General features: G+C 57.1%; 1 protein-coding gene across 1 annotated transcript; it reads right to left on the bottom strand.

Annotated features, from left to right (window-relative positions):
• Window positions 1–8,802: 8,802 nt before the first annotated feature.
• Window positions 8,803–12,984, bottom strand: AZU1 (azurocidin 1). Its single transcript, NM_001700.5, has 5 exons — window positions 12,917–12,984; window positions 12,435–12,591; window positions 11,115–11,259; window positions 9,880–10,113; window positions 8,803–9,105 (listed from the first exon to the last, which is right to left on the bottom strand). Exons 1-5 carry the CDS (start codon window positions 12,972–12,974, stop codon window positions 8,944–8,946), a joined length of 756 nt encoding a protein of 251 aa, NP_001691.1. The 5' UTR covers window positions 12,975–12,984; the 3' UTR covers window positions 8,803–8,943.
• Window positions 12,985–13,273: the final 289 nt, after the last annotated feature.

Below are 13,273 nucleotides of genomic sequence, written 5' to 3'. Positions count from 1 at the left end.
AGGCTGGCTGTCACCCACCCAAGTCGGGGGTCCCTGGCCAGGTGGGCAACATGGCCACAGCCCTCAGAGCAACACATGCCCACGTGCCACCCACAAGGAGACGCCTCCCTGACGAGGTCCCTGTGGCCCCAGCAAAGCCGGCCGTGGCAGGTGTGTCCCGTGGGTGGGTGAGCTGGAAACGGACAGACAGCAGGACGTAGCAGGGGACAGGATGCAGAGCTCGGGAAGGCAGGGCCCCACCACGAGTGCCCTCAGTGCCTCACCTGAGGCCCCAGCGAACATCCTCCTGCCAGTTTTGTCTGGGGGTTTTCTTCCCCCTTTAAGGCCAGGATTCTCAATCAAGAGGTGATTCTGCCCCCAGGGGACCCTGGGCGAGGTCTGAGGACACCTGTGGCTGTCACGAAAGGGGAGCTCCTGGCATGGAGTGGGTGGAGGCCAAGGATGATGCCTAGCACCCTGCAGTGCCCAGGACGGGCCTGCCCCAGAGAAGGATCCAGCCCCGATGTCCACAGGGCCCAGGGGAGAGACCAGTGTTCATTATTTGGGGAAAAAAATGGCCAGGTGCGGTGCCTCACACCTGTAATCCCAGCACTTTGGGAGGCCGAGGCGGGTGGATCGCCTGAGGTCAGGAGTTCAAGACCAGCCTGGCCAACATAGTGAAACCCCATCTCTACTAAAAATACAAAAATTAGCTGCGCGTGTTGGCGGGCGCCTGTAGTCCCAGCTACTCAGGAGGCTGAGGCAGGAGAATCACTTGAGCCTGGGAGGCGAAGGTTGCAGGGAGCCAAGATCGTGCCACTGCACTCCAGCCTGGGCAACAGAGCAAGACTCCATCTCAAAACATAAATAAATAAAAATAAAAAATAAAAAATCCAGTCTGCCCCCTGCTCACACCGGACACCAGAATAAACTCCCGATGGGGCGTACGGCATAAACCCGGGGGACCCCAGCTCCCGGGACTCGCCTCCTCTCTCCCTCCCACTCAGGGTGTGGATTTCAATGTGTGCAGCCTCCTGGGACCTCAGCAGGGCAGAGGATCATGGGACTCAGAGTCTCTTGGGGTCTGTGGAATCCTCTAACCCTGGGGTGATTCTGCCCCCAGGGGTCCCTGTGTGAGGCCTGGAGACATCCGTGGTTGTCACGACTTGGAGGGAGCTCCTGGCAGGGCCCTGCAGTGCCCAGGATGGCCCCGCCGCAGAGACAAATCCAGCCCCCATGTCTGCAGTGCCGGAAACGGGGGAAAGCCGAGGACAGAGGATAAAATTATTTATTTATAACTGAACGGTTTAAACCTACAGTGAAATGGAGAGAAGCACTGAATGAACTTGGAGGCCAAAAAGAAAAAAAGCTTTTTAACGTTTCATTTGGAAAGGATTTCACGCTTACAGAAGTCCAAAGGGTCCAAACTCCCTCCCCGCTCCCCAAACTCCCTCCCCCGGCCTCCCTCCCCCAGCTTCCCTAAATTCTGTCCTCTTGCTCAACCCTCCAGGCTGTGATCGAAGCCAGGGCGCGAAAGTTGATTCCAAATGGCCCCCTCTGCCCCAGCCCCCTGAGTATCACCAGCCACCCTTTGCTGGGTCCTGGGTACACAAGCCACCCATCTTCAGATGTCAGGGTCTCCTCCAGCGGGCGCAGTCCCTCTGCCCTCCCTCAGCCCTTGGGACCATTGAGGAGAGCTGGTGGTCACTCTGCAGAGCGTCCCTCCGTGGGGATGGTCCTGGGTGGCCTCAGGACTCAATGGAGGGAGTCCCGGGCGTGGCGTGTGTCTGTCTCAGGCCCCCCACGTCGAAGCCCATGGCTTCGGCCTGTCTCGTGCTGATGGTAATAACCTTGACCACGTGGTCAGGGCATCTGCCGGTTCCTGCACTGTCCAGTTACTGTTTTCCCCTTTGGATTTTTTTTTTTTTTTGAGACAGAGTCTCGCTCTGTCACCAGGCTGGAGAGCAGTGGTGCGATCTCAGCTCACTGCAATCTCCGCCTCCCGGGTTCAAACAATTCTCCTGCCTCAGCCTCCTGTATAGCTGGGATTATAGACGCCCACCACCACGCCTGGCTAATTTTTTTTTTTTTTTGTATTTTTAGTAAAGACGGGGTTTCACTATATTGGCCAGGCTGGTCTCGAACTCCTGACCTCAGGTGACCCGCCCGTAATCCCGCCAAAGTGCTGGGAACACAGGTGTGAGCCACTGCACCTGGCTATATTAATGTATATAACATAGATGTATACATAAAATATGTAGCATGTATATTATTTACATTATATAATATATAATATTTTAAAATATACATATATATTTTTTGAGACAGGGTCTGGCTGTGTCACCCAGGCTGGAGTGCAGTGGTGTAATCATGGCTCACTGCAGCCTCGACCTCCTGGGCTCAAGCAATTCTCCTGCCTCAACCCCCCAAGTAGCTGGGACCACAGGCATGCTCCACCATGTCCAGCTAAAGTTTTTCTTTCTTTTTTTTTTTTTTTTTGGTTGGCTGTTTAATTTTTTGTAGAAATGGGGTCTTGCTATGTTGCCCTGGCTGGTCTTGAACTGCCAGCCTTCAGGGACGCTCCTGCCTTGACCTCCCCAAATGCTGGGATCACAGGCATGAGCCACCATGACCGACCTGATGTGTATTAAAGAACTAGAGCTGTGGGCCGGGCGCGGTGGCTCACGCCTGTAATCCCAGCACTTTGGGAGGCCGAGGCGGGCGGATCACGAGGTCAGGAGATCGAGACCATCCTGGCTAACACGGTGAAACCCCGTTTCTACTAAAAATACAAAAAATTAGCCGGGCGTGGTAGCGGGCGCCTGTAGTCCCAGCTACTCGGGAGGCTGAGGCAGGAGAATGGCGTGAACCCGGGAGGCGGAGCTTGCAGTGAGCAGAGATTGTGCCACTGCACTCCAGCCTGGGCGACAGAGCGAGACTCCGTCTCAAAAAAAAAAAAAAGAAAAAGAACTAGAGCTGTGGCCGGGCGCGGTGGCTGTTGCCTGTAATCCCAGCACTTTGGGAGGCTGAGGCAGATGGATCACAAGGTCAGGAGTTCAAGACCAGCCTGGGCAACATGGTGAAACCCCGACTCTACTAAAAATACAAAAATTAGCTGGGTGTGGTGGCAGATGCCTGTAATCCCAGCTACTTGGGAGGCTGAGGGAGGAGAATTACTTGAACCCGGGAGGTGGAGGGGGCAGTGAGCTGAGATCGCGTCACTGCACTCCAGCCTGGGCAACAGAGCGAGACACCGTCTCAAAATAAAAGGGTTATTCTCATTCAACAAAAGTGCTGTTGGTTTCAGCCATGAGTCAGCTCATGCTGAGGCAAGCTGTTTGGCTTGCAGTCCTCAGTTTCCCCACCTGTAAAGGCGGGTGAGGACGGTAATAGGACCTTCTGCAGGGCAGCAGTGGGGGTCGACGGATTTGAGGTTTCTTGATTTGTTTTTACATGGAGTTTTGTTCTTGTCACCCAGGCTGGAGTGCAGTGGTGTGACCTTGGCTTCCTGGGTTCAAGCCATTCTCCTGCGTCAGCCTCCTAAGTAGCTGGGATTACAGGCACCTGCCACCACGCCTGAATAATTTGTTTTTTGTATTTGTAGTAGAGACGGGATTTCACCATGTTGGCCAGGCTGGTCTCGAACTCCTGACCTCAGGTGATCCGCCGGCCTCAGCCTCCCAAAGTGCTGGGATTACAGGCGTGAGCCACCGCGCCCTGCCTTTTTTTTTTTTTAATAGAGAGGGGTCTTGCTATGCTGCCCAGGCTCGTCTGGAACTCCTGGGCTCCAGCGATCCTCCCCCACCATCTGGCCACTACCGAATTGTTAAGTGGGTGAATTGCTTGGTGTGTGTGAAGGACATCTCAATAAAGCTGTCAACCAAAAAAAAAAGAAAAGAAAGAAAAGAAAGACCTTGCACACACACTGCTGGATCTAGCACACGCGAGAGCTGCCCAGGGGGCTGCCCCGTCCTCACTGTACGTGGGCTTCCCCGTCAGGATCTGTTTCCACGCAAGGCTGATGCAGCCCGGTCCTGACCGGAGGGTCCCAGCACCGTCCCGCGGGCCCCGGGTCCTCCAGGCTCCCTGTGCGTCCTGGGGGGACTCAAAAGCACAGGCCAGGGCGACAGGAGCGCTGGGAGCGGGTAGCAGGGAGGGTTCCGTGGAACACGCTGGGGGCTTTGCAGGGGTCGGCCTGGGGGCAGAGGTAGTGGGGGCCCCTTCCTGTACCAACCGTAGGTGGCGCAACTGGTAACGGCTTCAGGGATCGCAGGTGACGCCGCCTGGGGCCGAGGGGAGACCCATGCGGGGCTCAGGCCTGTGTCTCTGTCTCTGTCTCTCTCCCCGCCCTCTTTCTGTCTCCTTCTCTGTCTCTGTCTCTGTCTCCCTCTGTCTCTGTCTCTCTGTCTCAGTCTGTCTCTGTCTCCCTATATCTGTCTGTCTCTTCATCTCTGTGTCTGTGTCTGTGTCTCTCTGTGTCATCGCTGTCTCCCTTTTTTAAAACTATCTCTCTCAGTCTCTCTGGCTCTGTCCCTCTTTTTCCGTCTCTCTCTGTCTCTGTGTCTCTGTCCGTCTCTGTCTCTCCATCTTTCTTGTTCTCTCTTTTTTCTCTCCTCTACTACTTTCTTTTTCTTTCTTTCTTTCTTTTTTTTTTTGAGATGAAGTCTTGCTCTGTTGCCCAGGCTGGAGTGCAGTGGCGCGATCTCGGCTCACTGCAAGCTCCGCCTCCTGGGTACAAGCGATTCTCCTGCCTCAGCCTCCTGAATAGCTGGGATTACAGGCGCCCACCACCACACCCAGCTAATTTTTGTATTTTTAGTAGAGACGAGGTTTCACCATGTTGGCCAGGCTGGTCTCGAACTCCTGACCTCAGGTGATCCACCCGCCTCGGCCTCCCAAAGTGCTGGGATGACAGGCGTGAGCCACTGTGCCCGGCCTCCTTTCCTCTCCTCTTTATAAAGGAAAACCTTCTCTCCCTGAGTGACGGGAAGATGCTGGTTCGCCCGCGAGGCTCAGCCTCGCAGTGGTTGTGTTTTGTGTGTGTTTTGTGCCGACCGTTGACCTTCCCGTGTGCTTGGGGCCCTGACACCCGGCCGCCTTCCACACCCCCCAGGCCCATCCACCCACCTGTCCCCTGATGCCCCCTCTCACGGGATTTCTAAGCCAAACCCAGACATTTCACAATCTGTTCTGAGAATTCCGAAAATTTAAAAACCTTCTCAAGACACCAGTGAGTGGGGCCGGGTAGAGGGGCACAGAGAAGAAACAGAACAGCTGTTTTTAGCCTGAGCACAGCTGGCTCTGCCAGGAGGCTGCACGCGTCGGGGCCTGGACGGGGCTGCGGGGTGGGGGCTGCACGCACGCGTCGGGGCCTGGACGGGGCTGCGGGGTGGGGGCTGCACGCGTCGGGGCCTGGACGGGGCTGCGGGGTGGCGGGTGGGTCCACGGATGGGACCCCGTTCTATGTCCCTGAAATCCGAGGCGCGGAGAGGACTCGGGCTGCCCACAGTCACACGCAGCCCCGCTCTGAGGGCCCTGCAGCCGGGCTGACCGCTACCAGGGGAACCCGAGAACAGCACCCTTGGGCCCAGGAAGGGGGAGCAGCAGGGGCTGGGGGGAGGAGGGCAGAAACCGCCTCTGGCAGGAATCCCGCCCCAGCAGGGGGACCCTCATGACCGAACGTGGCCCCGAGCCGGGGGCACCAGAAGCCCTTGAACCCCAATCCTGCCTTGGGCCTCAGTTTCCCCATCTGAACAATGATCAGGCAGTGGCTTTGCCTCTCCAAACCCAGGCAGGGCCCCCACCGGCTGGGCTCCTGAGCCATTGGCACCCCTCTCTAGGCTTAGTTTCCCCCTCTGTAAAGAGAACCCGTTGGCCGGGCGCGGTGGCTCACGCCTGTCATCCCAGCACTTTGGGAGGCTGAGGCGGGCGGATCACGAGGTCAGGAGATCGAGACCATCCTGGCTAACACGGTGAAACCCCGTCTCTACTAAAAATACAAAAAATTAGCCGGGCACGGTGGCGGGTGCCTGTAGTCCCAGCTACTCGGGAGGCTGAGGCAGGAGAATGGCGTGAACCCGGGAGGTGGAGGTTGCAGTGAGCCGAGATCGCGCCACTGGACTCCAGCCTGGGCGACAGAGCGAGACTCCGTCTCAAAAAAAAAAAAAAAAAAGGACCCGTTATACCCACAAAAGAAAGAAAAGCAGCAGTTCCAACACAAACCTGCACATGAGTGTCCACAGCAGTGAGGGTCACAGTGGCCGGAAGTGGAGAGGCTCAGACGTCCATCCACAGGGGCCTCGAGCAGCACAGTGAGGCCTCCAGGCGTGGCAACAGGACGCAGCCGTGAAACGGACCCAGCTGTGACCCGACCACGGCGCGGAGGCACCGTGAGGACGTCACGCTCCGTGAGAGACGCCGGACACGAAAGACCACATAGTGTGTGATCCCATTGCTATGAAATGTCCAGGACAAGCCCATCCACAGAGACAGGAAGAGGACGCGTGGGTGCCGCGGACTGGGGAGGGGACAGGGAGTGACGGCTGATGGGGACAGGGATTCCTTTGGCGGTGATGAAATATTCTGGAACTCAACAGAGGTCATGACCACACAACATTGTGAGTGTACCGAAGACCATTGAATTGCACACTTCATTTTATTTTATTTTATTTTTTATTTTATTGAGACAGAGTCTCACTCTATCCCCTAGCCTGCAGTGCGGTGGCTCAATCTTGGCTCACTGCAAGCTCCGCCTCCCGGGTTCATGCCACTCTCCTGCCTCAGCCTCCCGACTAGCTGAGATTACAGGTGCATGCCACCATGCCAGGCTAATTTTTTGTATTTTTAGTACAGACAGGGTTTCACCATGTTGGGCAGGCTGGTCTCAAACTCCTGACCTCAGGTGATTTGCCAGCCTCGGCCTCCCAAAGTGCTGGGATTATAGGTGTGGGCCACCACGCCCGGCTGTACACACTTTAAAAGAGTGAATTCTAAGGCCGGGCACGGTTGCTGAAGCCTGGGAGGCTGAGGCTACAGTGAGCCTTGATCACGCCACTGCACTCCAGCCTGGGCATCAGAGAAAGACCGTGTCTCAAAAATAAATGAAATAAGGTCAGGCGCGGTGGCTCACGCCTGTAATCCCAGCACTTTGGGAGGCTGAGATGGGTAGATCACCTGAATTCAAGAGTTCAAGACCAGCCTGGTCGACATAATGAAACCCCATCTCTACTAAAAAATATATATATATAAATTGGCTAGGCATTGTGGCTCACACCTGTAGTCCCAGCTACTCAGGAGGCTGAGGCAGGAGAATTGCTTGAACTGGGGGCGCAGAGGTTGCAGTGAGCCGAGATCGCGCCACTGCACTCCAGCCTGGGTGACAGAGGGAGACTCTGTCTCAAATAAATAAATAAATGAGATAAAAATAGCTCACTGCATCCTCAACCTCTTGGGCTAAAGTGATCTTCCCACTTTAGCCTCCTCAATAGCTGAGACTACAGGTTCTTCTTCTTCTTCTTCTTCCTTCTTCTTCTTCTTCTTCTTCTTCTTCTTCTTCTTCTTCTTATTATTATTATTATTATTATTATTATTATTATTATCATTTTAAGAGACTGGGTCTTGCTCTGTGGACCACGCTGGAGTGCAGTGGTGCGATCACGGCTCACTGCAACCTCCACCTCCTGGACTCAAGCAATCTTCCCACCTCAGCCTCCAGAGTAGCTGGGACGACAGGTGCCACTTACCCGGCTTTTTTTTTTTTTTTTTGAGACGGAGTCTTGCTCTGTCACCAGGCTGGAGTGCAGTGGCGTGATCTCGGCTCACTGCAATCTCCACCTCCCGGGTTCAAGCAATTCTCCTGCCTCAGCCTCCCGAGTAGCTGGGACTACAGGCGCCCGCCACCACGCCTGGCTAATTTTTTGTATTTTTAGTAGAAACGGGGTTTCACCGTGTTAGCCAGGATGGTCTCGATCTCCTGACCTCGTGATCCGCCCGCCTTGGCCTCCTAAAGTGCTGGGATTACAGGCATGAGCCACTGTGCCCGGCCTCTCCTGTGTAATTTTAATAATTTTAAAAATTATTTTTGTAGAGACATGGTTTCACTACGTTGCCCAGGCTGGTCTCAAACTCCTGGGCTCAAACGATGCTCCCACCTTGGCCTCCCAAAGTGCTGAGATTACAGATGTGACTGCCACATCCAGCCATCATATTCATATTTTATTCTGTATTATTTATATATACAATTATATTTATTATTTCATATTCACGTTTTACTGTTTCTATTGGATCCAAGAGGAGAATGTTCCCCGTTTTCTCCCGTGGTTTTTGTTTTTTTTTGAGCTGGAGTCTCGCTGTCGCCCAGGCTGGAGTGCAGTGGCGCCATCTCGGTTCGCTGCAACCTCCGCCTCCCGGGTTCAGGTGATTCTCCTGCCTCAGCCTCCCAAGTAACTGGGATTACAGGCGCCCGCCATCATGCCCGGCTAATTTTTGTATTTTTATAGAGATGGGGTTTCACCAGGTTGGCCGGGCTGGTCTTGAACTCCTGACCTCAGGTGATCCGCCCACCTCGGCCTCCCAAAGTGCTGGGCGGCATTCACTGTGTGACCTCTGGGCAGCCACCCAACCTCTCTGAACCTGGGCCTCCCCCCAACACCCCGCTGTCGGGTGCAGATAACACCAGCCCCTGCTTCCCGGGCTTTGAGGGAATCTCTGAACATCTGACATCTGCACAGGCAGTGCACCTGCGGTGGGTGCCCCTAAGGCCGGTGAAGGTGCCACTCACGCGTCCCCACAGCCCCCTCCCCCACCAATGAACAGAAACCAGGAGCAGAGGAGAGATCGGCTTCTTTATTACAGCCAGGGCCCCTCTGGCCGGAGCGGGGGCAGGGGCGGGGCCGTGGGAGGTGGGTGCGGAGCGCCGGAGGTGTGGAGGGCGGGGCTGGGCTCCATGGGAGGTCACAGGCCCCCCTAGGCTGGCCCCGGTCCCGGGTTGTTGAGAACACCATCGATCCAGTCTCGGAAGAGCGCCACTCGGGTGAAGAAGTCAGGGCCTCGGCCACAGGGCCCCAGGGAAAAGGAGGCCACGCCGTGGGCCAGGCCCTCGCAGACGAGGGGGGTGCCCCCGTCCCCCTGGGCAGGCAGCAGCTGTGTCAGGGCGTCCCAGGGCCTGGCTCCCACGCCACCCCAGAACTGCAGAGGCCTCTTGCTGCCCCTGGAACCTACAAGTCCTGATCCAGCCCCAGGGCCTTTGCATGGCTCTTCTCTTTCTCTGCCCTGGTTAACTGCTAGTGGACTTTGGGATCAGTTGCTTTCTGGAGCTTCCTGGCACCTCCAGGCTGGGCCAGGTGCCCCTCCCCTGGCAATCACACGCCTGAGTCCCTCAGTGACCGGCTCTACCATGCCTGCTGGGTCCCCAACCCCCAGCACAGACGTGGCTCACAGCCGGCGTTTGATAGCTACTGTTTCTCAGCCAGGCACGGTGGCTCATGCCTGTTATCCTAACACTTTGGGAGGCCAAGGTGGGTCGATCATGAGGTCAGGAGTTCGAGACCAGCCTGACCCACATGGAGAAACCCTGTCTCTACTAAAAATACAAAATTAGCCGGGCGTGGTGGCGCATGCCTGTAATCCCAGCTACTTAGGAGGCTGAGGCAGGAGAATCGCTTGAACCCAGGAGGCGGAGGTTGCAGTGAGCCGCCGAGATCACGCCACTACACTCCAGCCTGGGCGACAGAGCGAGACTCTGTCTCAAAAAAAAAAAAAAAGATACTGTTTCTCCTACCGTGAAAATGCTCAATCCTGGGGCCCCCCTGCTGTGCCGCCCTCAGCCTGCACTTGCTTTCTCCTGCCACGGAGAGCTCAGTACCTCTCAGGACCCCTCCTCCCGCCACAGGGAGCACTCACATTGCAGATGCCACCGCGGCGGGTGAGCACACCGGTGCACACGTTGTTGGGGCGACACTGGTCCTCGGGGGTCACAGTCACGTTGACAAACCTGGGAAAACGGGAGAGACGCCCCCCACTGCGCTGGCTCCCCCAGCCGGCCACCTGGCATCTGGTGCCGGCTTCCACCGTGGCGTTCTGCAGAGGCAGTGGCAGTATCGTCACGCTGCTGGTGAGGTTGGCCTCACGGTCCAGCTGGGGAAGGAAATGGAGTCAGGGGAGGGTGGCCCTGGGGACTGGAGCCTCATGGGGACCCCTGGGAGCAGAAGTGTCAGCGACATTAACTGTAGTCTGTAAGTGGTTTGCGTTTAATTCCCGGCAGGGGCCGGGTGCGGTGGCTCACGCCTGTATTCCCAGCACGTTGCGAGGCCAAGGTGGGTGGATCACTTGAGGCCAGGAGTTCGAGACCAAACTGGCCAACAAGGTGAAACCCCCGTCTCTACTTTTTTAAATTTTTTAATGATATTTTTGAGATAATTTTATCATTTTCTCAAAGAAAAAAACCAAACATGAAAAACATTCACATGATTCTGTCATAGCAAAAGCATTTGAAAACGACGTCAGTCTCCACCAACAGGAGGCTCCATACGCGAACCGTGGTACATCTGTATGTGTTGCTGTATTGTTTTTGGAAGTTTTTTTTGAGATAGGGTCTGGCTCTGTTACCCAGGCTGGAGTGCAGGGGCGCGATCTCGGCTCACTGCAAGCTCCGCCTCCCGGGTTCAAGCGATTCTCCTGCCTCAGCCTCCTGAGTAGCTGGGACTAGAGGCGCCCGCTGCCATGCCTGGCTAATTTTTGTATTTTTAGTAGAGATGGGGTTTCACCATGTTGGCCAGGCTGGTCTCAATCTCCTGACCTCGTGATCCGCCCACCTCGGCCTCCCAAAATGCTGGGATTACAGGCATGAGCCACCTCACCCGGCAAGATACACACACACACACACACACACACACACACACACACACATATATATTTTTGTAGAGACTGAGTTTGGCCATGTTGCCCAGGCTGGTCTCGAACTCCTGACCTCAAGCCGTCCTTCCGCCTCGGCCTCCTGAAGCACAGGGGCCACAGGTGCGCGCCACCACTCCCGGCTAATTTTTGTATTTTTTTGTAGAGACCAAGTTTGGACTTGTTTCCCTGGCTAACGTCGGCCTCCCGAGGTGCTGGGATCACAGGTGGCACCATCCTCTCACCTGAAGCAGCATCAGGTCGTTCAGGTTCTGCTGGGGGTCGTAGCCATTCTCGCTCATGCTGCTGATGGAAAACGTCTGGCGGGACTGCCTCTCCCGCCGCCTCAGGTCATAGGCACCCAGCACCACGGTGCTAACCCCGGGGTTCCTGAGAGTAGCGGAGGAAAGGGCAGAGGGAGGACACCAGGCTGGGGCCTGGGCACAGAGCAAGCCGGCTTGCAAATTAGGGGGGATCCCAGCCTGCAGACTGCAATCCTTCACCCTGAAAACTCCCCCGCTTTTACAGAAGCAGAGCCGAGACTTTCCAGGGCCCCCTTCCCATCTTGAGCCCCTTCCCTTCTCTGCGCCTCCTCCTCCATCTGAGCCCCTTCTCTTCTCTGCGCCCCCTCCTCCATCTGAGTCCCTTCCCTTCTCTGAGCCTCCTCCATCTGACCCCCTCCCCTTCTCTGCACCTCCTCCATCTGAGCCCCTTCCCTTATCTGGGCCTCCCCCATCTGACCCCCTTCCCTTCTCTGCACCTCCCCCATCTGACCCCATTCCCTTATCTGGGCCTCCCCCATCTGACCCCCTTCCCTTCTCTGCACCTCCTCCATCTGACCCCCTTCCCTTCTCTGCGCCTCCCCCATCTGAGCCCCTTCCCTTCCCTGGGCCTCCCCCATCTGACCCCCTTCCCTTCTCTGCCCCTCCTCCATCTGAGCCCCTTCCCTTCCCTGGGCCTCCCCCATCTGACCCCCTTCCCTTCTCTGCACCTCCTCCATCTGACCCCCTTCCCTTCTCCGCACCTCCTCCATCTGAGGCCCTTCCCTTCTCTGCACCTCCTCCATCTGAGGCCCTTCTCTTCTCTGCACCTCCTCCATCTGAGCCCCTTCCCTTCTCTGCACCTCCTCCATCTGAGCCCCTTCCCTTCTCTGGGCCTCCCCCATCTGACCCCCTTCCCTTCTCTGCACCTCCTCCATCTGAGCCCCTTCCTTTCTCTGGGCCCCCTCCTCCATCTGAGCCCCTTCCCTTCTCTGGGCCTCCCCCATCTGACCCCCTTTCCTTCACTGCACCTCCTCCATCTGAGCCTCTTCCTTTCTCTGGGCCTCCTCCATCTGACCCCCTTCCCTTCTCTGGGCCTCCTCCATCTGAGCCCCCCAATATCCTTGGGTCCCTCCTCAACTCAGTCCCCATTTCCCTCTCCAAGCCCCCTCCTTTCCCTGAGCCCCTCCTTTTGCAATCCCCTCCCCTCCTCACCTACCAAGCACCCCCACTGAATGCCTAAGCCCCCCAAGCCCCTTCTCTGAGCCCCAATGCCCCCTAGGCCCCCTCCCCAGGACCCCTCACTGGCTTTGGAAGCAGCTGGCCGCGGTCATCACGAAGCGGGCATGGATCAGGGCACCCCCGCAGAAGTGCCTGCCTTGATTCTGAATGGAGGCCAGGAACGGGAACTGGCGGGGCCTCGCCTTCCGGCCGCCAACGATGTCCAAAAGGGGGCTGGAGCCTGGGTCGGGGGGAGACAGCTCTGAGATCCCCAAGAATCCACACAGTGGCCGGGAGGGCGTGTGAAGCTGCAGCCTCAGCTCTATCCACCCAGTGGGGCTGCGGGGGGACCCACCCTCCCCCATCGTCCCACTCCCTAAGAGGACAGGGGGCCCCTGAGTCCCGCACACCGTCCGCCCTCACGCCTTTCGCGGGATCGTCCAGGCCGGGCTGGCTGTGTGACCCAGGCCAAGCCGCTTGCCTTCTCTGTGCTTTAAGTCTGAGTTCTGCCCTGGCAGCCGGGCCCTAGCACAGATGGGGGACCACCGGCACAGAGAGGCACTCACCGGCCCTCGAGGACGCCAGCAGACCAGCCAGCAGGGCCAGGACTGTCAGCCGGGTCATGGCGGGGCAGGTCTGTGGCTAAGGCGGCGGCTGCCCTTATACACAGGCCTTGGCAGTTGGTGGCGTCCCCGCCCAGGCCCAGGGACAGCCCCACTCAGTGGGAACACGGGAAATTGCCCAAGGCCTCCACCGCCAACTGCTCCCTGGGCCAGCCTGGGCTCCCCCTACATTCTGCACTGATCCTCAGTTTCCCTCTCTAGAAGATGGCCACACCCCCAGGGGCAGGTGAGGGTGTCAGGAACCAGTGGATCCCGGAGCCCAGCACATGGCGGGCATGCAGCCAGCACCCAGGAACATTG

The sequence above is a fragment of the Homo sapiens genome, chromosome 19 (assembly GCF_000001405.40).
Source record: "Homo sapiens chromosome 19, GRCh38.p14 Primary Assembly".
Taxonomy (NCBI): domain Eukaryota; kingdom Metazoa; phylum Chordata; class Mammalia; order Primates; family Hominidae; genus Homo; species Homo sapiens.
This window is presented reverse-complemented; position numbering and strand designations above follow the sequence as displayed.